General features: G+C 38.8%; 2 protein-coding genes and 1 long non-coding RNA gene across 21 annotated transcripts in view, besides 1 other annotated feature; 1 reads left to right on the forward strand and 2 right to left on the reverse strand.

Moving 5' to 3' along the window:
* The window catches only part of OVCH1-AS1 (OVCH1 antisense RNA 1), a 98,031-nt gene extending 91,650 nt beyond the window's left edge, over positions 1 to 6,381 (forward strand). The window contains exon 2 of the long non-coding RNA NR_073172.1: positions 5,943 to 6,381. This is a non-coding gene — a long non-coding RNA (OVCH1 antisense RNA 1). The remainder of the gene's footprint in view (positions 1 to 5,942) is intronic.
* Positions 1 to 16,743, reverse strand: part of OVCH1 (ovochymase 1) — a 95,519-nt gene extending 78,776 nt beyond the window's left edge. For all 12 annotated transcript variants that reach the window (XM_024448968.2, XM_011520638.3, NM_001353179.2 and 9 more), the window contains exons 1-9: positions 16,680 to 16,743; positions 15,613 to 15,731; positions 15,238 to 15,335; positions 14,342 to 14,514; positions 10,154 to 10,249; positions 8,677 to 8,828; positions 6,750 to 6,939; positions 5,307 to 5,405; positions 3,770 to 3,857 (exon numbers count right to left, since the gene is read on the reverse strand). In XM_024448968.2, the coding sequence (XP_024304736.1) occupies positions 3,770 to 3,857; positions 5,307 to 5,405; positions 6,750 to 6,939; positions 8,677 to 8,828; positions 10,154 to 10,249; positions 14,342 to 14,514; positions 15,238 to 15,335; positions 15,613 to 15,731; positions 16,680 to 16,743 (1,079 nt within the window). The remainder of the gene's footprint in view (positions 1 to 3,769; positions 3,858 to 5,306; positions 5,406 to 6,749; positions 6,940 to 8,676; positions 8,829 to 10,153; positions 10,250 to 14,341; positions 14,515 to 15,237; positions 15,336 to 15,612; positions 15,732 to 16,679) is intronic.
* A 3,126-nt stretch (positions 16,744 to 19,869) lies between these two features.
* TMTC1 (transmembrane O-mannosyltransferase targeting cadherins 1) overlaps positions 19,870 to 27,663 on the reverse strand; it is a 283,947-nt gene continuing 276,153 nt past the window's right edge. For 6 of the 8 annotated variants that reach the window (NM_175861.3, XM_047429634.1, XM_017020005.2 and 3 more), the window contains one exon: positions 19,870 to 26,043. In NM_175861.3, the coding sequence (NP_787057.2) occupies positions 25,903 to 26,043 (141 nt within the window). In that variant the 3' untranslated portion in view covers positions 19,870 to 25,902. The remainder of the gene's footprint in view (positions 26,044 to 27,663) is intronic. The other 2 variants (NM_001193451.2, NM_001367875.2) reach the window with 1 other exon arrangement.
* Positions 22,643 to 22,812: an enhancer, noted in NCBI's record as "experimental_27770 CRE fragment used in MPRA reporter constructs". NCBI's record gives its function as "activates a minimal promoter by MPRAs in K562 erythroleukemia cells, with activity observed for both the introgressed and non-introgressed 12:29656604 variant alleles {active_cell/tissue: K562}" and the evidence as "EXISTENCE:reporter gene assay evidence [ECO:0000049][PMID:34662402]".

The following is a 27,663-nucleotide window of genomic DNA, read 5'->3' on the forward strand; positions in this document are numbered from 1 at the left end:
TTAGAATGCATCTTACAAAGGAATCTTACGATTTCTGTAGACCTGAATTGAAAGAGTTCTTCCTGGCAGAATCTGTATACACTTCTGTCAGTCATGTTGCTCACTGTCAACTTCACAGTGCCGAATTTTCTGCTTGACATGTTTTGGCCTATACTTGAGGTGTGAATTTAGATGGTAGATCTGCACGAGTATTAACCTGTAGTTCAAATTCTCAAATAATTTTTTACCTCTCCCTACATCTACTGCCAAGGTTGAGGCATGTAACTTTCCATGTGGGTGGGTTTACACTTTGTTTAGCCTTACGCTAAAGACAGTGTTTGGTGACTCAGCCTTATATGAACCTATCTTAGGAATTTTGTTTTCTCCTATTGAAGCAGTATTTTACAATGAATTTTTTTGTCTTGATTTATTGAAATATAGTACAAATAGATGCTAATACTCATTGGGTTTTACTGCTACTGAAAGTCTTATTAATCTCTGGTTGACTCCTTACTTTAGTCCCTATAAACTATTTATATCTTAACTATTTTATCTCTACTTCATCTACTAAAGTTGAAGCAATTAAAATCTCATGTGATAACTAAGACATCCAGTGTAAATTCCTTCAACTTTCCTACAGATTACCTTCTTTGTTGCTTTCCCAGAAAAGGAATTATTCTGCCCTCTTTTCAATGCCAAACCTTCTTTATTTGTTGTGTTCTCAGAAAGCTTACTTCACATTTCTATGTGTTTCCTATGACTGTTGACTCTCACTCTCTCTCTGTCCATAAGCACAGTTGAGTCTACTTTATCAAAACAAAGTGCCTCTCTTGACCCTACTGTCTAAAAGCCACCACCCCAATGTTTCCATCTCAGACAACAGTTCTATTCTTCCAATAGCTCAGGTTAAAAACTGTTAGGTTACTCATATGGGGATCTCATTCTCCCTCAAAACCCAAACTGTCAACTCATCAGCAAATCCTACGGCCCTACCACTCTTCACCACCTCTACAAATGTGGTCAAAGCTAGACTTTTACCTGGATGACTGCATCATCTTTTACCTGGACTATTGCAGTAGTTGGTCTCCCAGCTTGTGGTCTTGCCTGCCTACAGTCTATCTGCAACCCAGTAATAAAAGTGATCTTTTAAAAATGTGTCAGATCATGATCTTCCTCATTCAAAATCCTCCAATGGCTCTCTAGCTCCTTTACGGTAAAATCCAAAGTTCTTTTCATGCCCCGCAAGTCCTAAAGAATTTGGCCACATTGCCCCTCTCCAGCCACTCAACTCTGGCTCTCTGGTCAATTTGCTATTCCCCAAATATACCAAGTGTATTCTTGTCTCACACATACCATTCCTTCTGCCTTAATGTTCCTTTCCAAAATGATCATATAATTCCCTCCCTTGCTTTATCCAAGTCCTTTTTTTCAAGTATCATCTTTATAACGTGGTCTTCCCTAACCACCCTCTCTGATATTGTATACTTTCATTCTCCACCCCCCTTTCTTGCCTTATTTTTTGATATAGCATTTACTACCTTCTACTATTATATGTAATCTTTAAAAATTATCCCATTTCCACCTTCTAACTTGCCCCACAAAGGCAAACATTTTTGTGTGTTTCATTCACTGCTGTATCTCTAGCACCTAAGACAGTGTCTTACACATCCTGAGGGTTCAATAGAAATTTGTTGATTATTTGGGATACTAAATTTTCAACAGTCACTTAACCCACTATGAATGTGGCTTCTGATCCTACAGTTCTGCTCAGTTCAAGAAGTTTGAGTTTCTATATGCGATGGCATTTGATCTGATTTTTACTTCTAAAATAACCCTTCTTCTCTTGAAACTTTTTCTTGCAGAGATCTCTGAAATGCTTAACTGTCTAAGTTGGGTCACTGTGTTTGAGGGTAAGTAGGCTGCCATCTGCATGTCTCTTACCCAATATACAAATACTTTGCTCAAATATCCACTTATCAAGAGCATTGATTACTTCCTGAAGCAGGCTAGTTAATTTCAGAAATCATTCAAACAAGAAATGACTTAATATTGAATTGAACTCTGCCTTCTAACTTCTACCCAGTGGTCTTAGTTTTCAGCTCTGCAATTATTCAGAACAAGTCTAACTCTGTTTCTTTAGTAGCCTCTAAGATAAATCAAGACACTTCCCTCCTCCTCTTCAGTCTTCTTTGGATCAAAAAATATTATGGTTCCTATAACCATACCTCTCAAAACATTGTTCTGAATTTTTCCCATCTTGGTCATTTTCCTTCAGACAAATTCTGGCTTATCAATCTCCCTGTCTAAACATTGTACCCTAGAGGTCCTAGAGGTCCCTGAGACTCTAATAAAGGAGTTTCTTAAACTCTTGTTCTAAATATCCTTCTAACAGCTTAAGCAAAGGTGGCAAAAGCTTTATTGGCATTCTATCATCACAAGTTTGCCTGAGACAAAGTCAGTTTAGACCATTAAGCGTTTTAAATTATGAGCTGAAATTAAGCCACATCTTTTCTATCTGTACTTGAAATAAATATTTATATTCATTTTACATTAGTTTTGAAAGTTATAATCTTTCCATCATTTTAGTTTTAGCATACCCATTGGTTGTAGCATAAGGTCTAATCTCTCTGCATGGAACTCAAGGTCCTCTGCAATTAAGTCCCGATCATCCTTTCTATTCTCATCATCCACTGCTACCCCAGTTCCCATTCACATTGTTGTCCAGTCACAGTGGGATACTCAAAACCCAAAAAACCCCAATCTTCCCCACCTCCTTGACATTGCTTATATCTAATTCCCTTGGCATAGAATGACCTCTTCCTGCCTCTCCATCTGTTGAAATCTTCAGTATTAGAGCTACCAAAGACCTCATGAGCTATAAAATCATAACTATCCTTCAACGCCTCATTTCAATGCCATCTTTTCCACTATAACATTTATATCTCTCCCCACACTTCTAACCACTCCACACATACCTTAAAAACCACACCAAAGAGAATTAGTCTCTATCTTTTATAGTGTGCACTTTCTTGGATGGTATGGATTATAAAGCTTATTTCCTCTTGTAGTATAGTTATTTTTGTCTAGCTCTTTCTACCAGATTATAAACTTGTAGAACTGTTATCTTTGTAGTACACTATTCAAGTCTCAGTACGATTTTAAAAATGAATTTAGATCACTTAAGAAAATGAGATACTTGCAGAAAGATTTTCTAAAGCTTAAAGATATTTTTAGCTACATTTAGATATATTTCAGAGGACAGGGTATGTAGAAAATTCGTAAAATGAGACTGAAGCTTATAGGACATGAACTATTTTCCATCTTGTAGGTGATGCTAAGCAAAGTATTACCATGATCATAGAAATAAATGTGACAGAATTAATCACTAAATCCCACAGCAATCTCATTACCAGACGCTGTTAGTATTAAGTATTTGAACACATCCGTTCAAGTAAACTTTAGTTTAATAACTATTCAGGTTGATGATTTACATGAGTGAGTAAATATTCACCAATCAAAAAATATCAGATAAAATAGATACTTTTATATTAGAACTGGAGATACCAGATAAAAATGCCAAAATAAGCCAAGTTGTGGTGGCATGCCCGTGTAATCCCTACTACTTAGTACGCTGGGGTGGGAAGATCCCTTGAGCCCAGGAGTTTGAGCCCAGCCTGGGCAACGTAGGGAGACCTTGTCTCAAAAAAAAATTGCTGAAGTAGAGTGTTTTAAACTGCCCCATTTTGTGGGAGGAAAAGCCCCAGAAATCATTCCTATGTAGTATACATACCAATTATGAGAATAGTAGTCTCCTTTGGAATGGGGGTAACAAATCTTCCCACTTTCTCCAAATAACACTGTCCCCTGAGGTTTACAATCTTCAAAAACATGGGAAAAAGCCGATCATTTGCCTCACCCATAGACAACATTTCAAAATGATACAGAGGCCAGTCTGAAGCTGTACGATTTATATTAGTCATTTCATCGATATTTATGGGAATGCAAATATTTTTAGAAGCTATGATTTAGACATTGTATTTGCAAACAGACTTTAAAAACATTTCTGAATTCACCATAATTTGAATCAAAATCAAAACTTTTAAAAACACTTCTTCAGATTTAACATTTATCCAACTTTCCCATCTCTTTCTAGGCTGTCTTGGGTAAGGTTAAATACCTTTGTATAAAGATGCTAACGTACAATTTGAGAAGCTGAGGCGGTTGCATCACTTGAGGTCGGGAGTTTGAGACCAAGCCTGGCCAACATTAGTCAGGTGTGGTGGTCCATGCCTGTAGTCCTACTCAGGAGACTGAGGCAGGAGAATTGCTTGAACCCAGGAGGCAGAGTGCATGCCACTGCACTCCAGCCTGGGTGGAGAACAAGACCCAGTCTTTAAAAAAAAAAAAAAAAAAAAAAAAGATGTCAAATAAGCTGGGTGCAGTGGTTCACGCCTGTAATCCCAGCACCAGCACTTTGGGAGGCCGAGGCGGGTGGATCATCTGAGGTCAGGAGTTCGAGACCAGCCTGGCCAACATGGTGAAATCCTGTCTCTACTAAAAATACAAAAATTGCCGGGCACAGTGGCTCACTCCTGTAATACCAGCACTTTGGGAGGCCGAGGCGGGCGGATTACGAGGTCAGGAGATCGAGACCATCCTGGCTAACACGGTGAAAACACGTCTCTACTAAAAATGCAAAAAATTAGCCGGGCGTGGTGGCATGTGCCTGCCTGTACCCAGCTACTCGGGAGGCTGAGGCAGGAGAATGGCGTTAACCCGGAAGGCGGAGGTTGCAGTGAGCCGAGATTGTGCCACTGCACTCCAGCCTGGGGGACACAGCATGAGACTCTGTCTCAAAAAGAAAAAAAAAATTAGCTGGGTGTGGTGGGGGGTGCCTGTAGTCCTAGCTACTTGGGAGGCTAAGGCAGGAGAATCGCTTGAACCCAGGAGGCAGAGGTTGCAGTGAGCAGAGACTGCTTGCCACCGCACTCCAGCCTGGATGACAGAGTGAGACTCCATCTCAAAATAAATAAAATAAAATAAAATAAAATAAATAAATAAATAAATAAATAAATAAATAAATAAATAAATGGATACAGCTTTTAGCAATGGCATGGAAAGTCTCCCTCATTCACTCAAAAGTTTTAGATGCCAGGGTCAGGTTTTAAATGTTGGAGCCTATGTATGAATATGAGCAGGGCTTTTAAAGTTTACATTCAAAAATTTAAATAAAACTCAGATTGTGAATATGGTACAATCCTCCTGTTTGCTTTCCTCTGATGACTTTCTTCAAGTCAGCTTCCTTCTCTAATTAGAACCACACATACCCTTTCCTCTCTGGCTTCCATTCACTTCTTGGACAGAACTCAGGGCCTTTGTTATATACCTTGAGCCCACTTTTGAGAGGGGTTGGCCCCGATCCAAACCTGTAAAAGGTATAAGGAGTTAGTGCCTTTCCCAATAATAATCATTTAAATAAAACATTTTTAACAATGTGAAGTTAAAAGAATATGAAGAATTATAACTTCTACTAAAATCAATGCAGAGGGAATCTTTTCTCAGAGTCAGTAACCCACTATGTCTTTTAAAAAAGGCTAAAGGACTACGTGGAAGCAGGAATTGATTTGATTTGCTGGTTAGTGTGGTTTTAAAAATAAGATGTGAAATATTCAATTCTCTGATTTTTAAGAGTTAAGAAAACTCAATTTAACCCTATTTCCAAAGCATAGCCAGTTCTGGAAAGAGATAGGGGAAGATGAACTAGAAAAAATAGGCAAATAGAAGATGAGAAGCTTAGAAGATTATCCTAAGGAAGCATTATTTAAATAAATCACTTATCATGTTCTGGTGTTCATTTCACTGAAATGAACCATTAATGTCTGATTTCATTGCTCTTGTAAAATCTCATTGTTACCATTTACATTTGTTCAGGGCTTTTAAACCTTGTCAACTTTCCCTTCCAGGTGATCAAAATGGAACACAATTGCTACCAGAAGAGAACTGCTCCCCTGCAGTGGAGCAGTGAAGAGGCCTTTTACATCTAAGACCAAAGGAGAGTCTGTGGCAGTCTGAGGAAGTGCTGGCCTGTGGTAGGATCCACAGCACCACTTCTAAAAGCCCTGTCAGGTGGCTGCCCTTGGACTGCCATGAGAAAGCGATGGAGGATGGAGAGAGCACTATGTTCTGGGGCTCTGGGTCTTGTCATTTTAAAAAATGTGTGGTTTCTGCATTCAACTGCTTGTTCCTGAAAGCTGTGTTCTCTCAGGCTTCTTTCATTCTGCAGACGACAGGTTTGGTATCTCCAGGCCCACATTTTCCTAATCTAGATTTTAGTGTCACAGAGCCAAATTAACTCTCCAAGGCCTCCCTCATTTTTTCACTGTTGCCAAGGAAGTTAACAAGGTTGAACAGGCAAAGTGGGAGATGAGTGATTTATTTTTGGTATTCTTAAGTAGTACAGAGAAAAATCATGCCAACTGAAAAAATGAAGAAAGAATCCCCTGATGAGTCTATTCTCAAGGTCTATTAATAAAATCTCGTAAATGCAAAAAGGCATCTCATGAAAATTTTATACAGGGATTTGGTTTGTTCAAGTTATATTGACAGATTTCTGTACTCAGGGTTTCAGAGACAAGTATCTACACTGGACTAAGAATTTAAAACCAGCCTCATTCTTGCTTTGTTCTAAAGCTTAGTTCTGATAATATCGCAACATAGCAGAGTAACTACCCTTGAGTTAGGATGAGATGAGGAAGAAAGAATTCACCTACCTGTGAACAGGTTTTGAGTGATAAAATCCATCAACTCAGACACTTTGGAGAAAATGCCAAGTGATGCCTTCACATGGTTGTTTCTTACGGGAACTGAACCTCCAGCACAACCAGCTACCCAGGAAGTTATCCCAGCAAGAATCCAGATTCCACCACCTCTTCTACAAACCAGTGGTCCTCCAGAGTCCCCCTTTCATGGTACAAAAAAAGAGAAAATTTGAAAATAGCCACAGTGTAAAATATTTCATCATTTCTGTAAACATCAGCACTCATCACAAAGTGAAAAGAGGTAGAGGCAAAGAAGTCCACTAGTCATCGTCCATCAGCTTTTTGTTTATCCATTTTCTTGTGTCCTTATCATTAGTTTCAAGGCAAAATCTTTTCATGAAGATAAAATCTCTTTATACCTATTGGCTGCAATCTTGTCAGGTTAACAATTTCTCTTCCTCCTCTTTTTTTTTTAAACTACCATGTACATTCTAAAAATCGTTGGAAGGGAGGTAGTTACAGATAGATGTTTCTACTATAGCTTGTCACCTGGAATTGCTAGGAAAGACTAGGTCATCTTCCAAACCTATGGAGCATCAGTGAATAGACCCCTCAAGATAGTTCAAGGCCTCAAAGCTTTAAAAACAGAAAGCCTGGGCAGGGCACATGGTTCACACCTGTAATCCCAGCACTTTGGGAGGCGGGGCTGGTGTATCACCTGAGGTCACGAGTTCGAGACCAGCCTGACCAACATGGTGAAACCCTGTCTCTATTAAAAATACAAAAAAATTAGCTGGGCATGGTGGTGGGTGCCTATAATCCCAACTACTCAGGAGGCTGAGGCAGGAGAATTGCTTGAACCTGGGAGGCAGAGGTTGCCGTGAGCCAAGATTGCGCCATTGCACACTCCAGTCTGGGCAACAGAGTGAGACTCCATCTCAAAAAAAAAAAAAAAAAAAAAAAGAAAGGAAAGGACCACATTGGCTCTTATGCTACAGAATAAAGAACCCAAGATTTTAGGATTGCATCTTCAATAACATTCCAGAATCTATGCTGCTTTAAGACTATGTTTCAGACAACATTGTGTCAGATTAAACTCTTCTCAAAAGGTGTAGAGGGCTTCATCCAAAAAAGGATTGCCTGTAATGAATGCAGATAGGAAAAAGCACCTTTAGCCTATCTGTTTTCCAATTTAGAAAGCGGCATAAGTGTACGTTTCAATCTCCTCCCTCCCAAACTCCTGTCATCGCCTCGAAGAAAAACTCAAAAATCCTTCCAACAGATAATTTCAGAGAGCTTCCCTCACATTTTCAAGCTGCTTTTTGGCCAAGAATAATGACTCCTTACTGCTCCACCTTAAAAGAGAAGATAATTTACTTGGAAGACCTATCTAAAACTTAAAACTCATGTGTTTCACAAATTGGTCTCCTTGTCCTCTCTAAATATCTTGTGAAGATTGGTATTCATTGTGAAGTTGTGTCAGTCTTGGGAGATTGTAGTTATTCCCAATATCTCTTACACAACAGTGACTAAAGCTATGTATCTTCAGTCAAACTTTGTGCAAATATATTCTGCACCAAAGGAAAAAAAATCCACAATGCTTAACAATATGTGAAATGAAGAATTCATAGCTAGGCCTAATAAGATTGTGAAAGTGGTCATCTTGCTTGATTCCATTAGGTTGCACACGTTGAAACTAACCCCTTTTGCCAACCCACCGAAATAAAAGAAGTGTAGGGGTAGGAATGGACGTGGAGACAGGAAATAATTCTTTCTGCTCAGGTCAAGTACACTTTTTCAGTAGAAATCAGAGGAAAAGATGAAGGGAAAAAGAATTTTGACACAGTAATAGAAGAAACATGAGCTTCTTTTGGGGAAAGGCAGAATCTACTTTCACCCACATGTTACTGAACAGCTAGGCTGGTTTACACTTTTGTACCTGGCAGGCGTCCATTCCCCAATCAGGGAAGCCAGCACACAGCATGGTCCTTCCCAGGGGAGGGAGGTTCATGCTCTTGAGCACAGTATTACACGCTCTGTCATCCATGATGGGAAGTTCCATTTCTTGTAGGACATTTGAATATTCTGATGCTGTAGAGAGAGGACAGATAAGTTAGCACACAATATCCTCATGGAAACAAATTAATGGGAAGTCTACAAGTTTGGAACTATTTCAAACAGATTTTTAACCACATGTAGAAGTAATTGTTTTTAGGTGTGAATCATATTCACTTCTAAAAATCAGATATGTGGCAGAGGACATTTTTTGAAAATTCAGCAGATTTTTAAGGTAACATAGGCAATTGTACAATTGTGGCTGCTCTAAACAAATGCTTAAATGTTTCCCCAAAAGAGGAAAACTTTGGTCAATATGGCAATGTTTTATAAAAATGATTTTTTTAAGACAAGGTGTCCCTCTGTCACTCAGGCTGGAGTGCAATGGTACAATCAAGGCTCACTGTAGCCTCAACCTCCTGGGAGCAAGTGATTCTCCCACCTCAGTTTCCCAAGTAGCTGGGACTACAGGCATGCCACCGTGATTTGCTAATTTTTTATTTTTTATTTATTTATTTATTTATTTTTGTGGAGACAAGGTCTTCCTATGTTATCCAGGCTGGTCTGGAACTGCTGGGCTCCCATCTTCCTGCCTTGGCCTCCCAAAGTGCTAAGATTACAGGCGTGAGCCACTGCGCCCTGCCTAAAATTATTTATAAAATAAAAAATCACAATGTATTGTTGTCAAGCTTTAGGTATAGTTGACAAATAAAAATTGTATTTATTCAAGGAGTACAAAGTGATGTTTTAATATATGTATACATTGCAAAATGATTACCATAATCATGGTAATTAACATTACATCACCCCACAGAGTTAACTTTTTTGTAGTGAGAATACTTAACATTTACTCTCTTGGCAAATTTCAAGTATTCAATATATTAACTATAGTTCCCATGCAGTATATTGGATTTCCAGAACTTACTTGTCATACAATTCCACATTTACACCCTTTGAACCACATCTTCCCGTTTCTCTCATTCTCAAATTCCAGGTAATCACCCTTCTACTTTTTGTTTCCGAGTCTGACTTTTCAAAAAAGTCACAATATTAAAGACAAAGAAGCTTAACTATTGTTGCTATTTCCTGATCATCCTTTTGCCTTATTCCTCCTCATCTGTCACAGCTCTATCCAGCTTCCTTTATCTGCCATACCAAATTGGCAGCAGCAGGAGTGATATGAATAGCCTTTTTAAAAGTATAAGCCTTTCAATGCTGAGGACTACCAGAAATCTTCGTTGTGTCAGAAATTAGTTATAAAAAATGATAAATGTACTACTCATGGTCAACAAAATTATTTCTGCTTCCCCTGGACATACAGAGAGCTGGAAGAAGTATTAAGTCATTTTGGTGTCTCTTACTTTTGGAAATCTTGCCCCATCCACTGGATAAGCAAAGAATTCCTGGTTCAACTTTATCATCGCTGTCAGGAAGACAGATTGGCTGAACAGCATTTCCTGAGAAAACAACAAAGGCATGAGGTTCATGGATAAATACGCCATGTTGAATATATTTGGAAAAGTGAAATCTCTTGATTTCATGGCTTCTACACTTTCTTCCTAAATGTAATGGTGACATATTTTAAGTTTTGGCCCCTCCATATAAAACCGTTTTGTATTTATAGAAATTTTGAGAAATGCAGAAAAAGTAAAACAAGGATAAACATAAGGCCAATTGTTCCGCACACCACGAGCCCCCTAATGTACTAACATTTTAGACTATGCCTGTGTTTTGAAAGGGTAGTTTTTCACTTGACAGTTATTGAACACAAATCCAGAGGAATTAGCCAGGCCACTGCCTTTGAGAGATTGAATTGATCTTTAAGATCCTAGAAATTTAACTGGCCATGAGAGGAGCTGTAAAGAACCTGGGAAGCTTAGAAAAAATATGGATAATGGTGGGAAGAGACTGTAATTCAAGAGAAAGTGGCTGAGGACTGATCACAATTGATATCCAAATCTTTAGAAAAAAGCCCAGTAACTCCAACTATGATGCAAAAAATAATTTTGTATCTAGACATTGCTGAAAATGTAGCACACTAAAAACAAAGAATGGATCTCAAAAAAATCTAGAAGGAAAAAAACATATTACCAAAAATGGAATGTTCTTGATTTCTCAACAGCAGTAAGCGAATGTTAGAAGACAGTAGAACAAGATGATCAAATTATCACGTGGCAAGCACTCTTTTAGATCTCAACGAATGAACAGAAAGAAAAATATCTCTGTCTTGGTAGAACCTCATGAGTGTATATATTTGTGTTTGTGTGTTGGGTGAGAGGAGAAGAAACAAACAGCAAATATAATACATTGTTCAGTGGTAAATACATGCTATGGAAAAATAATAGGATAAAGGAGATAAGTCTGGAGATTAGGGAGAATGGCATGGAAGATGTCATTTTAAATATGATGGTCATGGAAAGTCTCATTGAGCAGGTGACATCTGAGCAAAGTCTTGAAGCTGAGGAAAGGAATCATGTAGTTATCTGGGTGGAAGTCATTTGATGAAGAAACAATCCTTGCTGCAGGATCATGCATATATGTTTAGGGGACAGTGGGAGGCCAGGATGACTGGAGCAGATTAAGTTAGTTTCATAAAAAAAAAAAATAAACAAATCAGAGGTTAGATATAGGACTAGAAAAGAGGGTATGTCAGATAATAATGACATTGATTTTCATCTAAATGTAGTGGAGAACCATTGAAGTGGTTTGAATAGGGTGACATAACCTGATTTACGTATTAAAAAGTACTATTCTGGCCACTGGGTTAATAACAAACATTAGGAAGACAGAAGAAGCAGCTTGAGAAAATTTCAGAGACCATTAAAATTAACCCAGGCAAGACATGATGGTAGTATTGCCTGGAACAAGATGGCAAAAGTGTGAAGTGAGTGAAGCAGAAGCCAACAGGATTTTCTGACTCATTGGATGTACAGTGTCCAAGAGAAGAATCAAGGATGAATCCAGAGTTTTTTAGATTTAGATGTTTAAATTATTGATCCTGGATGAGGTCACAAAGAGAATGAGCACAACTAGAGAATAAGATGTCCAGGGCTGAGCCTGGGGCACTCCAACAATATGAAGTCAAGGAGAAGAGGAAGAATCATCATAGAAGACTAAGAAAGGGTACAATAGGGTAGGAGAATAACTAATGGATTCCCGGAATTCAAGTGAAGAAAATATTTCCAAGAACATATGAGCAATTCTGCTAAAAACTCTTACCCAGAAAGATGGGAATTGCGAAGTTACTTTGAATTTAGCAACATAGAGGTCATTAGTGACTGTGACAAGACCAAATTTATGGAACAGTGGAGAGAAAGTCTGATCCACTTAAATGTGGAACAGACATCTTAACCTAATACACCCAGCTATGAGAATTGAGGAAACGAAATTGACATAACTAGTATAGATGGCTTTTAATAGATGTTTTCTGTAAAGGAAAGAAAAAATGGGGCAATAGTTTCCTCTTATATACACTTCGAGTTATTCTCAGTATTTTGATCGCCTACTGTCTTCTGACATTCACTTACTGCTGTTGAGAAGTCAATAACATTCCGTTTTTGGTAATGTGTCTTTTTCCTTCTAGATTCTTTTGGGATCCATTCTTTTAGTGTGCTACATTTTCAGCACATGTCTAGATATATAATTATTTTTTGTATCATAGTTGGAGTTACTAAGCTTTTTAAATCTAAAGATTTGGATATCAATTATGATCAATCCTCAGCCACTTTCTCTTGAATTACAGTCTCTCTCTACCAATATCCATACTCTTTCTAAACTTCAAATTGGATGTTTACTACACTCTATCTTCTCTGTCTCTTATCGTCACTGTCTTCTCCGGGTAATTATTTCAGATTGTCTAGTTCCATACACCTAATCTAACCTGGTAGATAAATATTCTATTGAGTTTCTAATTCCAATTACATTTTTATATTTTCATGTTTTACTGGCTTATTTTCAAATTTCCCTTCCATCTAATAGTTTCTTGTGGTTCAATCATTTTCAGTAACTTTCACTGCTTTAAACTTTAATATACTAATTTTCTATTCTCTATCTTGAAATTTGTAACCTTTGAAGGTCTGATTCTGATTGTTAATTCTTCAGACTCTCTTTGATGGCAAATTTCTCTGCATGTTTCTGTGCTCGAATTCATTAAAACTTTATGGGAATATATTAAACCTGGGATTTAAATTTCATTCTCTCAGAGAATTTATTTTGCTTTTGCCAGAGGCTGATTACTCACCTGGAACCACTTTAAAATTTTGCCTTGGAGTTTTTTGTGCCACACAGGTGATGTCAATTCCAGCATCAAACCTGAGTGAGGCCTGGCTCATGATTACAGATTCTTCTGAGAACCCTCTGTCCAGAGCCAAGGTTGAGACAAGTAAGTGTCCTTATTCCCTCACTTTATGTAGCATAACACACACAACTCCCTCTCCCTATCTTTCAAAGCATCACCTTTCAGAAAGTTCCAGGTTCTTTACAGCTCCTCTCATGGCCAGGTCAATCTCTAGGATCTTAAAGATCAATTTGATCCCTTAAGGGCAGTGGCCTGGCTAACTACTCTGGACTTGTGCTTTGTTTTTGGCCACTTAACACTTCCTTTTCTTGCATTTAAAAAAAAGGGGGCTTTTAGTATTTTACCCAGAATGTTTATATTACCTGTGTTGAGAGAGTGTTGGAGATCTTGTTCACAGTAATGACAGAAAGAAGTCTCTGAAAATATTTTCAAATGTTTCGAGCTTTTTTGTTAGAGATGAATATAGGTAGGTAGTTAGAATGTAGCCCAGCCAAGACACAGGAGTCCTTAAAATACCAGTTGGCCAAAATATGGACTTAAGTTGTTCATCAATGAATGAATGAAGAAAATGTAGTATATATACACAACGGACTATTATTCAGCCACAAAAAGAATGAAATCTTGTCATTTGTAACAACACAGATGAAACTGAACATGGATATTAAGTGAAATAAGCCAAGCAGAGAAAAACAAATATCACATATTCTCCCTCATGTGTGAGCTAAAATGCTGAATCTCATGAAGATAGAGGGTAAACCTGTGGCTATGAGAGGCAGGAAAGGGTAGGGAGGAGGGGAGGATGAAGTGGGGTTGATTAACGGATACAAATATACACTTAGAAGAGGTAAGACCTGATGTTTGATAGATCAGAGAAATAATTCAAGTGTTCCTAGCATATACAAAAAGATAAATATTTAAGGTAATAGATATCCTAATTACCCTGATTTGATTATATGAATGTATCAAATTATCACATGTACCCTGAAAATATGTACTTCTAATATGTATCAATGGAAATAAATGAAAGGGAAAAAATGTTGATTGTTAGGTTAAGCATAAATAATTTGTGGCTGGGACATGTAGCCTATACAGTATTTTCTCAATAGGTTATAGACCGAACAAAATTATTTTAAAAAGAAACAAAGCTTAGCTATTCTATTACTAGACAGCCACACAGACATTAAAGTTAACTTGTACATAATTAGCAGTTTTCCTCCACTGCATTTTTAATATTCTAACTCTCCATACTCACCAAACTTGACTTTGTGTTTTAGATACAGCAGTGCAATATCAGGACTCATATATTCACGGCTGTTGTATTCAGGATGGGTAATAATTTTTGAGACAGGAATATTCTGTTCTTGCTTATCCTTCTGAAAGAGGCTGTACTCCCCAGAAGTCACAGTTATATTCTTCAGCTGCTTCCTAAAACCAAAGAAAAATGTTTCATAAGTAGTTGTTTCCCCTACGCAAGTCTTCTTGGTTTGATGTAATTAAATGAAAAGTGATTAATGTATCTTTAAGCATCCCTGAGTCTTTGAAGAAGGTTTTCCTTATTATTGAGTATTACCAATGGTCATATTTTTTTTAATCTAGAAAAAATCGTAGTTTTCAGTCATGTTTCCATTTTTCTGAGTCAAGTATTTAAATATTGCATCCTTTTCTTCTTTGATATACAAACCATAGTTCACACATGCAATGCCATTTGTAACAGGATACAGAAGTTTTTTTCTAGAACTGTTCCTTCTTTTCTCTTATTAGTACCCTCTTTTAATCTGGTCAAATATTTGTAATTTCTGCAGTTTTTTCCCTCCTAATGATTTAAACCCAGATGATTAAAACTTTGGAGCATCCATTTAACATTTCTTGTTAATGCTTTATTACAGTAAGTAACCACCACCTCTACCCAAGCACTAAATCCATAAATTATAGATGATGTCTGGGATTGTTTAATTCAGTAGAACAGGAAGCACTGGGAATCTTGGGACAGACACACATTTCTGGGAATCAGGAAGATCAGTGGGTGGGTACACTGGGAGGCAAAAGTAAGAAAGGGACTGAGAATGAACCTGCTATTTAGAGCAACAAATCTGCCAGTCGCATAGCCAGGAATCAAGGCCTGACAAGTAATGGAAATCCACAACTTACTCACTGAGGCTGTCCAGGCAGTGTGCTGCTGTAACAACCCGATCTTCTTGAATCAAGCTTCCTCCACAGAAGTGGTGCTCATCTGATTTTAGGGAGACCTACCCAAGAAGAAAGTTACAAATGCAGCTAATATGTCTCCCCACATATGTATCTCCATCGGAAACACTGGAGATCAACTTTTCTAATCTGACATAATATTCTTAAAATACCGACATAAATTGGATAGTAAGATAGTTCCTACGAAGTAAACTTTTTGGTAGAGAGCTAGAGGGGTTCAGGAGAAAAACTACATATCAACGTGCATTCTTGCTTTCGAAACAAAGGAAATATTTCACTGTTTTCTCATTAAGAAATCAATGCCTTTGTTGCACTGACCTGCCATGGATGTCCAGTCACTGTTGAATTTCTCCAACTACTAATTCTAGAGAAGAATCTAGATCCCACGGCAGGTTCCTTACTTTTCATGTTGACCATGCGAATTCCACACTTCAGTCCTGTGTAGAAGAGCATGTGTGTGTGCACACACAGAGCCTTATGTAAGAGTTCACTTTACCAAGATTTCCCATTTGGATTTTCCTGGCCTGGCACAGACATTCTGATAGCACTTAGCTGCAGACTACCACATTCTTCTCTCAATATTTTCTTCAGAATATCCCACAGTCACCTGGGTTGACCGGAATTTGCCTCCTGTCTGCTCCCTTTCAGCCTGTGTTACCACTGGGCAGGAAGGAGCCAGCGCTGCCTCTGGTAGGTGACTTGGGGCTTACTCTGGGAAGATGCAAATTTAGGTTGTGTTAAAGATACCAGGAGCCACATGCAGTGGTTCCCGCCTGTAATCCCAGCACTTTGGGAGGCCCAGGTAGGCTGATCACTTGAACCCAGGAGGTCAGAACCATGGGCAACATGACAAGACCCCATCTCTACAAAAAAATGTAAAAATTAGCCAAGTGTGGTGGTACGTGCCTATGGTCCCAGCTACTCAGGAGGCAGAGGCAGGAGGATCACATTAGCCCTGGAGTTTGAGGGAGCCGTGATCGCATCACTGCAGTCCAGCCTGGGTGACAGAGCCAGACCCTGTCTCAAACAAACAAACAAAACAAAAGATACTGAGGAATGACCTATACTACTCCGGAAGGGAGATATTTGTCTTTAAGTTACTTCTACTTGGTTAGGTTTCCTTGGAGGAGGCTCCTTAGTACACACATGATTAGCAGGTGTGCCTACAAACGAACTCTAAAATGCAAAAAATTTCAAAAAGGCAGTCTGGCCCAGACCTTCCTTTGGGGACATCTGAGCATGCACCACCCCCTCACCCTTTCTTCCCAAATGCCTCAGGTGTGGCTATACCACCCCGACTTCCTGAGGCAAGGAGTAATGAAGTCTTCCCTCTCCAGCACGCTCAGCCTCCTCCGCAGTCCTGGTGCCCAGGTCCCTAGGCTCACCTAGGCTTCTGGGGTGGCCGATGACCAGCAACAGCAACAAACCAGCACTGGCCAGCAGGCCCATAGCCTCCACGCACCGGCCTCGCACGTCCTCCCTCCCTGCAGGCTGAGAAAACTGTGGTGAAGGCGGGGGTCTCGCCCTTTATCCCCTCCTGCGGTGCCTATGGGCAGCACCTGCCGTGGCGCCTTGGTTCGCAGGTGTCCCTCTTCACGATCATTTGATCATTGTGAGCTGCCGCCGCTCTCTGGTCACCCCTGGTGTCACAGTGCCCCGCCACCCAGCCTTAGAGACTGGCACGAGGTGGCCCAAGGGGTGACAGTGGTGCTCACACGTGTGCAGAGGTTCCTGCTAGCAGATCCACAGCAAGCCAATCAGTGGCCTGGAACGCTTAGCCCTGCGAATTCCCAGACTGGGGAGTGCGGTCCAAGCTCAGGGGCAATGAAGCTGGTCCCCCACACGAAACACAGGCAGGACTTCTGAAAGGCGGAGGGTCAGGAAGCTTAGTACAATACTGCCCCTTCTAAGAAGCTTGTTGCCCTTGACCCTCTAGAGTTTTCAAAGAGTGAATAGGAAAGATCAGGCTTGAGCTGACATCATTTTCTGGGTGGCAGTACTGTCCTCCATTTCAGCAGAATGGCCCCAAAACTGTAGGATCCATCATTTAAGATGATTAAAATTAATCTAGTGGTGAGATATCACTTTTTTTCCCATGAATATTATTTTGTAATAAGTTAAGCTGAAGTTAGAAGACAAAGCCAGAATTTGTAATGGTCTTATATTTTGTCAGAAAATTAAGGCAAGGCTAAGTGGACATTCCATATATATCAAATAACCTGGCCACCAGTCCTTCAGCACCAGTTGGAGGATTTTACGTTCAAGTGCTCTATTTTACTTTCATGTAAAATAGAAATAAAAGCTTCTTGAGGTAGGAGGGTACATAAACTAATGGGGGCAGGTGGGAGATGAGCAGGTAGATGGGAAAACAGAAGGCAGTCAAGGTGGAGAGAATGCAGGCACAGGTACAAGCAGGTGACAATCTACTGGGGACAATGACCTCTGTGACTGCAGGAGAGAGCAGAGGGTAAATGGACACCATTTGAAGAAAAGACTAAAAAAAGTGAATGATGCCTGTCGCTGTGGCATCTTCAAAAGGTGTCCATTTACCCTCTGTGGCTAGTGGCTACCATATTGAACAGCACAAATACAGAACATTCTGTCATCACCAATAGTTTTATGGGACTGTGCTGTTCTTGAGAGTAGCACTATTTTCTTTTGAGTATTTATTTCAAGGAAAGACACCTCGGATGACAGTTTGAGTAGATGACTCCTTAGTTTCATGCCTGGGTGTCTAGGGGATAGGGGGTGTCCAGCATGCTCTTAAGGTAAGCAGCTCTTCTGTGAAAATAAAACATTGAACCTCCAGGCTTCAGTACTGTCCAGGGAATGTCCAGATGTGTGGCTACCTGAACAGTGGCCCTCACCACTTTCCTCCCTGTAGTCATCACACAGGGGTGACCATTTGAACCACCATGCCAGCTCCAGGGCCACACCGTTCTCCAATAAAAGCTCAGAGCCCCCACATGGACCCAAAGCCCTCTTTCTTTTTAGCAAGAGGTAAGATGAAACCCACCAAAAAGCCTTTACTAAACAAAAGGGTAAGGACTAGAAGGTGAACATGTGCTGTGCAAGAACGGTCAGGCCAGCAATATTCAAGTTGCTGGTCAAACCATGGCCAGCCCTTCCGTGAGGCTCACAGGTGCTGTCCCCTTTCACTCTTCTGCCCATGGCACACAGCTTTGCAGCATACTCTGTGGTTTCTTTGTTTCAAACCTGGGAATCTCCATGCGGTGGGGCACTGTCTCATTTCCTGTTACAGAACAACTCCCTTTGTTTCCAGAGTTCAAAACCCACAGCTTCAACTGAGACCCTATTCTTATATACAAAGGTTTAGTCCCTTACAGGCCTCACATAATAATGCCTTTCCATTAAGTGGAAAAAGAGCCATTCAATAAGAATTACACACCATTAATAGCCAGGCCATAGGCCAGGCGCAGTGGCTCACGCCTGTAATCCCAGCACTTTGGGAGGGTGAGGCAGGCGGATCACCTGAGGTCAAGAGTTCGAGACCAGCCTGGCGGCCAACATGGTGAAACCCCATCTCTACTAGAAATAAAAAAAATAGCCGGGTGTGGTGGCACATGCCTGTAATCCCAGCTACTCGGGAGGCTGAGGCATGAGAATCGCTTGAACTAGAAGGCGGAGGTTGCAGTGAGCCAATATCGTACCACTGCACTCCAGCCTGGGTGACAGAGTGAGACTCCATCTCAAAAACAAACAAACAAACAAAAAAAGCCAGGCCATTAGTTTTAGTTTTAGACTCAAATTTTCTAAAAAAGTAATGGTTTCAATATAAATTGAGTTTGTAGTTATATTAAAACATCCAAATGGAAGAATCCTCTTTTTATGTTTAAAATAACTTCAGAAAAGGAAAGGATACCAAGGAGAGGAGTGGACTGGACTACCCCCAGACAGTGGTGACTTGTGATGTACAGCAAATCTGTCTTTAATTTGGACATCTTCACTAGTATAGGACAACTGTGATCTGCTATTCGAAAAGCTTGGCTGTGAAGGGCAGACGGAGATGTGATAGCAGCTACAGATAAAATGAAACAGAGGATTTTTTTTTTCAAATTGTTTCGGTGTTGATTGCCTGTGTATGTGCTTTAAGAAGAGTAGAACTGACAAATTGACAAGAGCCAGCAAAAGGAAGAAGTAAAAAGATGAAGGAGAAGTTAAGGCATGGAATGAAGTTCCATAAGAGGCAAAATGCAGAACCTAGGGTCCTCTTCTTCCATTACGATAACAGGAGAAAAGAAAGGATAGAATTAGGTGCAGGTAAATGTATAGATGAAGTGCAGGGCATTGGGGGACAGCTGCTTTCTACCTTTTATTTACTCTGTGAAGAGAGAGGTGACAGCATCTAAGCATGATAGGGGAGCGGATCTGGAGTGGGTGAGTACTGAATTGGCACTGTGCGGAGGAAGGGAAAGAGAGCAGACAGGAAGCACACAGAATAATGCAATGAAATGAGTAAATGAAAGAATGAAGGAAGGAAGATGGTCCTTTTTAAAACATTGTTAAAACAGACACTCCTGGTGACATGGACATCAGTAGGTACTAACCATGAAGTACTTGAGAGATTGAAACCAGACATACTTATTTTAATCATATTTTATATAAAATAGACATTTACATAAATTTAATTTTGGAAAGACCTAGGCAAAGTATACATCATTAGACTCAATGGGAGAAATACTTTATGGAAGATAAATTCTAACGGGCACAGCCAAAGTAACAAAAATGTACATTTACATACAACTGATCCAAACAGGAAGTAAAAGCATTATGAAAAAAGAACATGATGCAAATCATTTCCCCCTGACAAAAGGAGGGATCTGCGTGAATTACAGCAAATCAAATGATTTCCACATTATAAAAGCAAGCCATGGCTTCTACAGATATTTTAATTCCTTGGGAGGAAGTTTCACCTCATCTTTTTTCCCCAGTAAAGTAACAATCACTGTAGGAATTTTTAAGTGCACAAACTGCAAAATAGGAGTAACTACCTCTGCCATGTTCAAGCACTTGGGCAATTCAGTCACTTTTAGGGTTGTATCATTTAAAAAAGGGGCAACATTTATGAATTATCTCATCAGATGCATGGTGTTTTTCAATCCAGATTCAAGAGTAACTATTAGAGTTACTCATTGAGCTTAATGGAAACATCAAACCGACGAGTCCTTTCATGGGTGGTAAACATGACTGGGAGACAATGGCTAACTTGCCCCAGGTAAGGTGGCTCTTCAGTGGCAGAGCTAGAACTAGAACTAGAACTCAGATGTCTTGATTCTTGGGGTAGTGTACCCCTCCTATGGACCAGCAAGATAAATAACCCCCAAAGGACATCACACATACTGAAAACTACCAAATTTGTTACATATATATATATACAACGTGTACTACTGAGAATGCAAAGAAACTACTGGATTTTTAGAAATAGACATGTCTCTCCAGGTAGGAGTCAATGGTGATCTATGCTTACAAACCAATAATGACCATATATTGTGGTGGATGCTGATTTTATGAGTTACAGGCCCTAAAGATTTTAATTGAAAAGATCAATTAAAATCAATATTTTAATATCAGCCAATTGATTGTTATAAAGATCTTATCAATTCTGTTGTGCCACTTTGATTGATATTAAACCATACTTTTGATTGCAGTTATTTTCTGTTCTCTTTAAATTACATGGCTACAAATAAAATATTGAGGGAAATAATATTTTTTGGAAGAACTATTCAGCATATTTTCCTTTTGCATCAAAAACGTCAAGAATAATCATAAAATCTTATAATATTTCTCTATATTATTTTTTGACATCCTAAGCTTTTATCTTATTCAACTGCAACCTCAATGCTAGATTTGACAGGTACTTAATTCTTTTTAAATGTCAAAAGATACCATTTAAATAGCTAAGTTAACCTATATTTGGGAGATACCAACATATAATCAAATCAAAGTAAACATAATTTGGAAACCAGGAACAAAAATTTTTAAAAAATCACCTCTCACTATATTTGTTTTGAATGTCATTCCTAATATCCTCTAAATTTATTATTTTAAGAAGGTGAATCCACCACAAATCAAAGCAAAAGTTTTTTTTTTTTTCAAAAACAGATTCTAACAAGTACAAAGAAATAATTAACAAAAGCTCATGTGTGCCCAAAATAAAGATAGAGATGTAGGCATAAACTCTATACCATGGACACCTTCTATGAGTCACGAAAATATCAGTCATATATATACTGGCACTTAGTCTGGTACATGCAAATTTCAAGGCAATTCCTCTCCATCTGAGAACGAGGAATTGTGTCATTTTAAGGCCAAATTGCAGTCCAATTGCCACAAGTGCAAAACCACCCCACATAACCACCTATTTGTAATCATGGAATGATAGCCTCAACCAACCAATTGTGCCATACATCATTGTTAAGACTTCTTTGGCTCATTTTAGTATAGACTTAAAAGTAAAAATTGCAAAAGATGATAAACATCTATTATTTTGTAAAAGTTACAAGCTCCCATTCCAGGTGTCAGCCCTGTAGTGGTTCTCCAGCCTAGCTGCACATAAGAAGCATCACCAGGACAGCCAGGATGATTCAACCGAAGATTCCGAAAGGTCCTCAGGTGATTCCAAAGTGCAGCCCGTGTTGAGAGCCACTACGTGTGAGGGAACAGATGTCAACTATCAGCTGAATGTAGCTCTTCAATCTGAGAACCTGGAATGTTTTACAATGAAAACAGGAAACCCACATTTGCTCTGTTTCGCCTCAGAGTACAGTTATTGTGGGTCAGTTTTGATAGGACAGTTTGGATTTTCTCATTTAGTCTGACTGAAAGGCCGTTGCGCAGAGGCATTCGCACAACTGCTGCAAAACCCTGCATCAAACTAGGTACCACCTATTACAAATTTCAGAATCTTATGCTAAGGGTTGTGAAGTACTGCAGGAGGTTGGAATTAAAGTGCGACAATTCTCTTTGTTTTGTGATAGGCTTTAAATTAAACAACCCAAAAGGATATATCTCAGGATTCTCTATAATACAATTTCTTTTCCTCCAAGGCATTTGCATCTTTGGTTTAGTTCACCTATGTTGTATCACTGAAACATGTTTTATAAATACTGTTAACAGATTGAAAGCATCTGAATCATTTAAAAAATCCTGAATGAATAATTCATAAGATTAAAATAAGCTGCTAAAGCCATTCTTGTGGCTTCTACATCAAAGGATACAAAAAGAAATGGACACTTATCAGGGATTTTGAAGGCAAGGAGAACTGATTCTAGGCACAAAAAAAAGGAGAGGTTAGATGGACTGGAAAAAGAGGGGTGATATATACATGAGGAACTCTAAATGTAGCTGGAAAAAAATAGCAAATCTGTTCAGAGTAACACAATCATAAAATGAAACTCTGATCATTGGTTCAAATGTTCAGCCAGGCCAAAGCAACTCCTGTTTTATCCTCAGCCATCCTTCCTACCCAGGACCTGTTTGGGAACCCAGTGCAAAATGAAAGTGTGGACCTCTTGCTCAAAAATTATTAATTATTAAGAATTTCAGTTGGACATGGTGGCTTATGCCTTTAATCCCAGCACTTTGGGAGGCAGAGGTGGGCAGATCGCTTGAGCCCAGGAGTTTGAGACCAGCCTGGGCAACATGGTGAAACCCTGTCTCTACAAAAAATACAAAAATTAGCTGGACATGCTGGCATATGCCTGTAGTCTCGGTTACTTGGGAGGCTGAGGTGGGAGGATCCCTTCAGCCAGGGAGGTCGAGGCTACAGTGAGCCATGTTTGTGCCACTGAACTCCATCCTGGGTGACAAAAAGACAAAGTGGAACTGTGTCTCAAAAAAATAAATAAGAAAAAATCAAACAGACATTCAACTGAGCTCGGGGTGCTTCTGTATGCAAGGCCCTGTGGGACTGCAAAAATTGCACATCCATGAGGCCAGCTGAGCTCCTCCATTTCAAGAAGGTGCTATCAATCCACACAGCAAGTATACTTCCATTAAGGGCAAACTAGATGCACCTCTATGATGAACCAGGGCACTCCATTTTTATTATAAAGGTAAGTTCCATGTATTATTTCATGTTACAAGGACCAAATGAAAATAGTTACAAAATACACTTAATATCATTGAAAAATAGTATGTGATCTATTTTCTTATAGGCACTGTTTTTACTGTGAAACTATTGCATTGGCCACATCTCAGTGAAGGTATTCACTTGGGATAAAAGTATCTGATCCAACAAATAATTACTTTTTTAAAAAACAGTGCTTACTTTTAGTGTTCAAAAGATGCCAGTGTGTGTAGACAGAGTGACAGTGAGAGAAAAAGAGAGGAAGGAAAAGGGAAAAGGGGTAGGGAAGGATGGGGGAGATAGGAAAGCACCTACAGGAGGCAGAGAGTTTCCTGAAGGTCATGTGATCCTTTACCCTCAGAAACTTTTAGGCTGAAATCACCATTTCTGTTATTCCAACAAATGTACTCTCCTACCTTTATTAGCACTTCAAGTAAGGCGTAATCACTATTCAAAATTTGGGGCTCAGTCTTTTCCATTAAATTTTTAAGCATGAGTTTTCATTACAGATTATTCTGAAAAGTTGTAATAAAGTCCTAGACATTCACTTTTTTCAATTTGAGGGTGTGGTTGTTATTTTACAATAAACACTGGAGTATGTTTCTTGACACTAGGACTATGATTTTGGGGGAAGAATAGTTCTTAATTAAGGTTGTGGATACATTTATGTTATATAACATGAAAAAACTATTAGAAACAAATGGTTGTAGTGGTAACATATACATTCTTGGATTACTGTTGCACACAAAGAGATGCATGCTAATTCAAATTCTGTAATCATTTTCATTTAAAATACTCCCTTCGCCATGCCTTCCGAAGAAGTTTTTCTTGTTTATTTAGACTTACCTTGACAAAACAAATAATAACACTGGGGTAGTGCTTCCTGATACTGGGTTGAAAGAAGCAGAAGGCTATTTTTACCCTGCCCTGGCCTGAGCATGCGAATTATGTGAGCCTTTAGGCTACTATGTCTGTGTGCTACCTGGCTCAGCACTATAAACAGTACTGCCTGGAGTGTTTTGGTTTTGTCTCTAATGATGAAGACCAAATTAGAAACAGGTGTTCCAATTTCTTCACTTCCAAAATATACTACTGCCAAAAAACTGAAGGCTGATTCCTCACATCTCTTTAGCAAGTGAATAATCAACACAAAGTTTGGGAGGGACTGTTAAAACTTAACTATTTTACAATTTAGATTTACATTTTATAAGATCAGTTTTGAAAGCTGATATTAAAACCACTTTGTACAGAGAAAAAAGAAGAGTGTGTATGTATATATTAAATATTTTATAAGTTATGAAATAAATAACACTAAAAATAAATGTCAAATTGTGAGTTCAACTTTGCCTTTCCTATTTCTTAAATATAAATATATATTTAAAATTTGAATTTAGATCTTTACCCTAGATTTTTAGAGCATTCTCCATAATATTCTCAAAACAAAGAATTCTGGGTATTAATCGTTGATGTTCTAAGCCCAGAATTCTCATTAAGCCTAGGAACACAAATAAATAGAGCTCTTTTTCCATCTAGTTAGAATCTATGAAGATTTCTGTGATACATCATAAAGGTTCCTCAATGGTTCAATATATTTTTCAAAAAAATAATAAATCTCATGATGTCTGAACATTAAGATAATAAAGTAGGACATTTCTCTTAGTTAATATCTTTAATTTTTTATGTAGAATATACTATTTTTTTCTCCACCAAAATAACAATATATTTGCAGGCGGGAACATGTATGATTTTAAATGCACTTTTGAAATCTTAGAGTAGAACCACCACTCTAGTAATACTTGTAATAAAATTAAAATAGTTTTAAACACTTCCATAAAGAATTAGGGGTGCCCAGCTCCTTGATTTCCCCCTAGGGATAAAGATATCCATGTACAATTCCAGGAGCTTCCCTGTAATTCCTCAAAAAAGCACTAGTAAAACTCTTAGGAGGATATTAGATAAAGCTCACTTAGCAATAGCCCTTTTTCCCCACATATTCTGGAAGGTTCTACAAAAGCTATTAGATACTCATTCCTGGTTCTGGAAAATTAAATAAGCCAATTCTTGGTAGGATTTTCCAAATGGCTTACCACAGAGGATTTATCCTCTTTTGAAATATTTCATCCCATAAAGAATAGAAGCTCTGCCTTCATAGCATTTCAAGCTTCTGTATTTCTGGGACAAAAAATGTCTAAACAGAATTAGATCTCCAGGTCTCAAAAGCACAGAGATATATCAAGAGAAATCTGGAGTTAAACCAAACAAAAATCTGTAAAATGTGTAAATGTCATTCTCCTTCCCTCTCAGACCTTCTTGCCCTTGTTTGCTGTTTTCGTCTTCTTCATGGAAAAGCAAGTCCTTCAGCACTGGGCTACCAGCAGATGTCCCAAAATGTGTCACCCTGAACTCGGAATGAGAGAAAATCTCATTAGTTGTGCCCCTGCTGATGTGAAAGCAAGGCTTCCATCACTCCCCTTTCAGAGGCACCACATTATCCTATGAGGTTGGGTCAGACGGTGGTGCTATGTTTGATCCTTTTCTCGAACTTCTTGTAATCGTTTTTCTAGGCGATCCAATTTGGCAAGATTTTCCTTCAGCAGTTTGCTGTCTGGAACCAGCTGTAAGGCTCTCTCATAATAAGCTCTTGCAGACACATATTTTCCCTGGGGGTGGGAAAGAGGGAGCAATTACATTCTGATCCATCACAAAACTCTCTCAGAGAATGAAGAGACTAAGAAACTGACCCTCTGCCCAGTTTTACATTAATGTTCTCATATGGAAACTCTGTCTGTATGTGTAATTTTATCCTTGTCTATTGGTGCTTTTGAAGACTCCATTTGTTTTAAGCACTAGATCAGTTGCAGAATGTGAAAGAGGAGAGTTATACTGTAAGGATAAATGGCAGAAAAACAGATTTTCAATTCTACTAATGCAGGGTGTGAGGTTACCATTTCCTGGTGTCCTCAGGGGGCTAGTACTGTTCCTTGTAAAATGGAACCATGGCACAAAATTCATGTTAGGGGAATGGGGTGGAGGGGATGGGAGAATGAGAGATGAGAAAATGTTTTTAAAACTGCAAGAAGAATGATTAAATAGTTTATGTATCCACTCTCTCTGTTTAGTGATAGCAGTTATTCTAGTCTTCAGCTTAAAACGTAAAAGTAACTTTTGCCTAATAAAGTTTTTTGCAATGAAAAGACTTGATAAGAATGTGAAGTCAAATTTTTTACTACTGCAGGTTTGCAGCAGTATGCATTAGCTATATACTTTTAGTGCAGTATGGTATGTGACTCCTGACCTACTAAACACAACTGTCCCCACCCTCTGTTGGCTTCCAACTGTTTTGTTTGATTCTTCAACTAGCAACCATGTGTGCCTGGTCCCAGAAGGGGTCCCTGGCAACTCAGTCACAGCTATTAGCTTTTTTCAGCATTTTTTCTGCTTCTGGATGTATTACCTCCCTTATTCGTTCCACCCTCTTTTAGATCTGTATTCTGCAAATTCTCAGAGCTAAGATTGTTGGAGTTCCCCCATTAGAAAAAGTATGAATTTGTTCCATCTATTCTTAGTTATAGCTCCCATGTGGATAAACACCAGTGACCCTCTACATTTCCATCACAATTAAAAATTGTATCTCTTAGAGTGAAGACACCATGTAGCAACAAACAACTAATACTTATCCAGTGCTTACCTATCTTCCAAATACCTGTCAAAAGCTTAGACACATAGTGAGTGCTCAATACGATACTAACATTACTGTTATTAATGACTATCCAGGCTCTGTATCAATAGTGTCTATTTCTTACTGTATTTACTGGTCATATTGGTGAAAAGGAAAGTGGAAATGACAGCACAAGAAATTGTACGTTAGATATCCAGGCACTGGCATGTACAACAAAAGGAAGTATTAACAATGACTCTGATAAGAAGTTAAACAGATTGCTGAACAAGTGGGAACTTGCATTTGCTATATTCAATTATTATTTTTTTCAATTCAAGGATATGTCTTCCAAATGTCTTCTGATTTTTATTAGCCTTAGCACTTACATGCAGACAACTATACATTTCTGGGTCTAAGAGTGCTCTCAAAATCTGTTTTGACTGCAATTGCTTTTGAAATGATTCTTCCAGGAGGCTCCCTGAATGTCAGCCCCAGTGAAGTGCCTTGGGATCTTATTCTCTGATCACCAGGCTTCTCTGTCCTTTCACACAGAACGCAGTTCCTTTTCTCTCCCTCAAATTGCCCTTTTCTTCACTAAACTAGAAGCTGTATTTTTTTTTTC

The sequence above is a fragment of the Homo sapiens genome, chromosome 12 (genome assembly GCF_000001405.40).
Source record: "Homo sapiens chromosome 12, GRCh38.p14 Primary Assembly".
In the NCBI taxonomy this organism is placed as follows: Eukaryota; Metazoa; Chordata; class Mammalia; order Primates; family Hominidae; genus Homo; species Homo sapiens.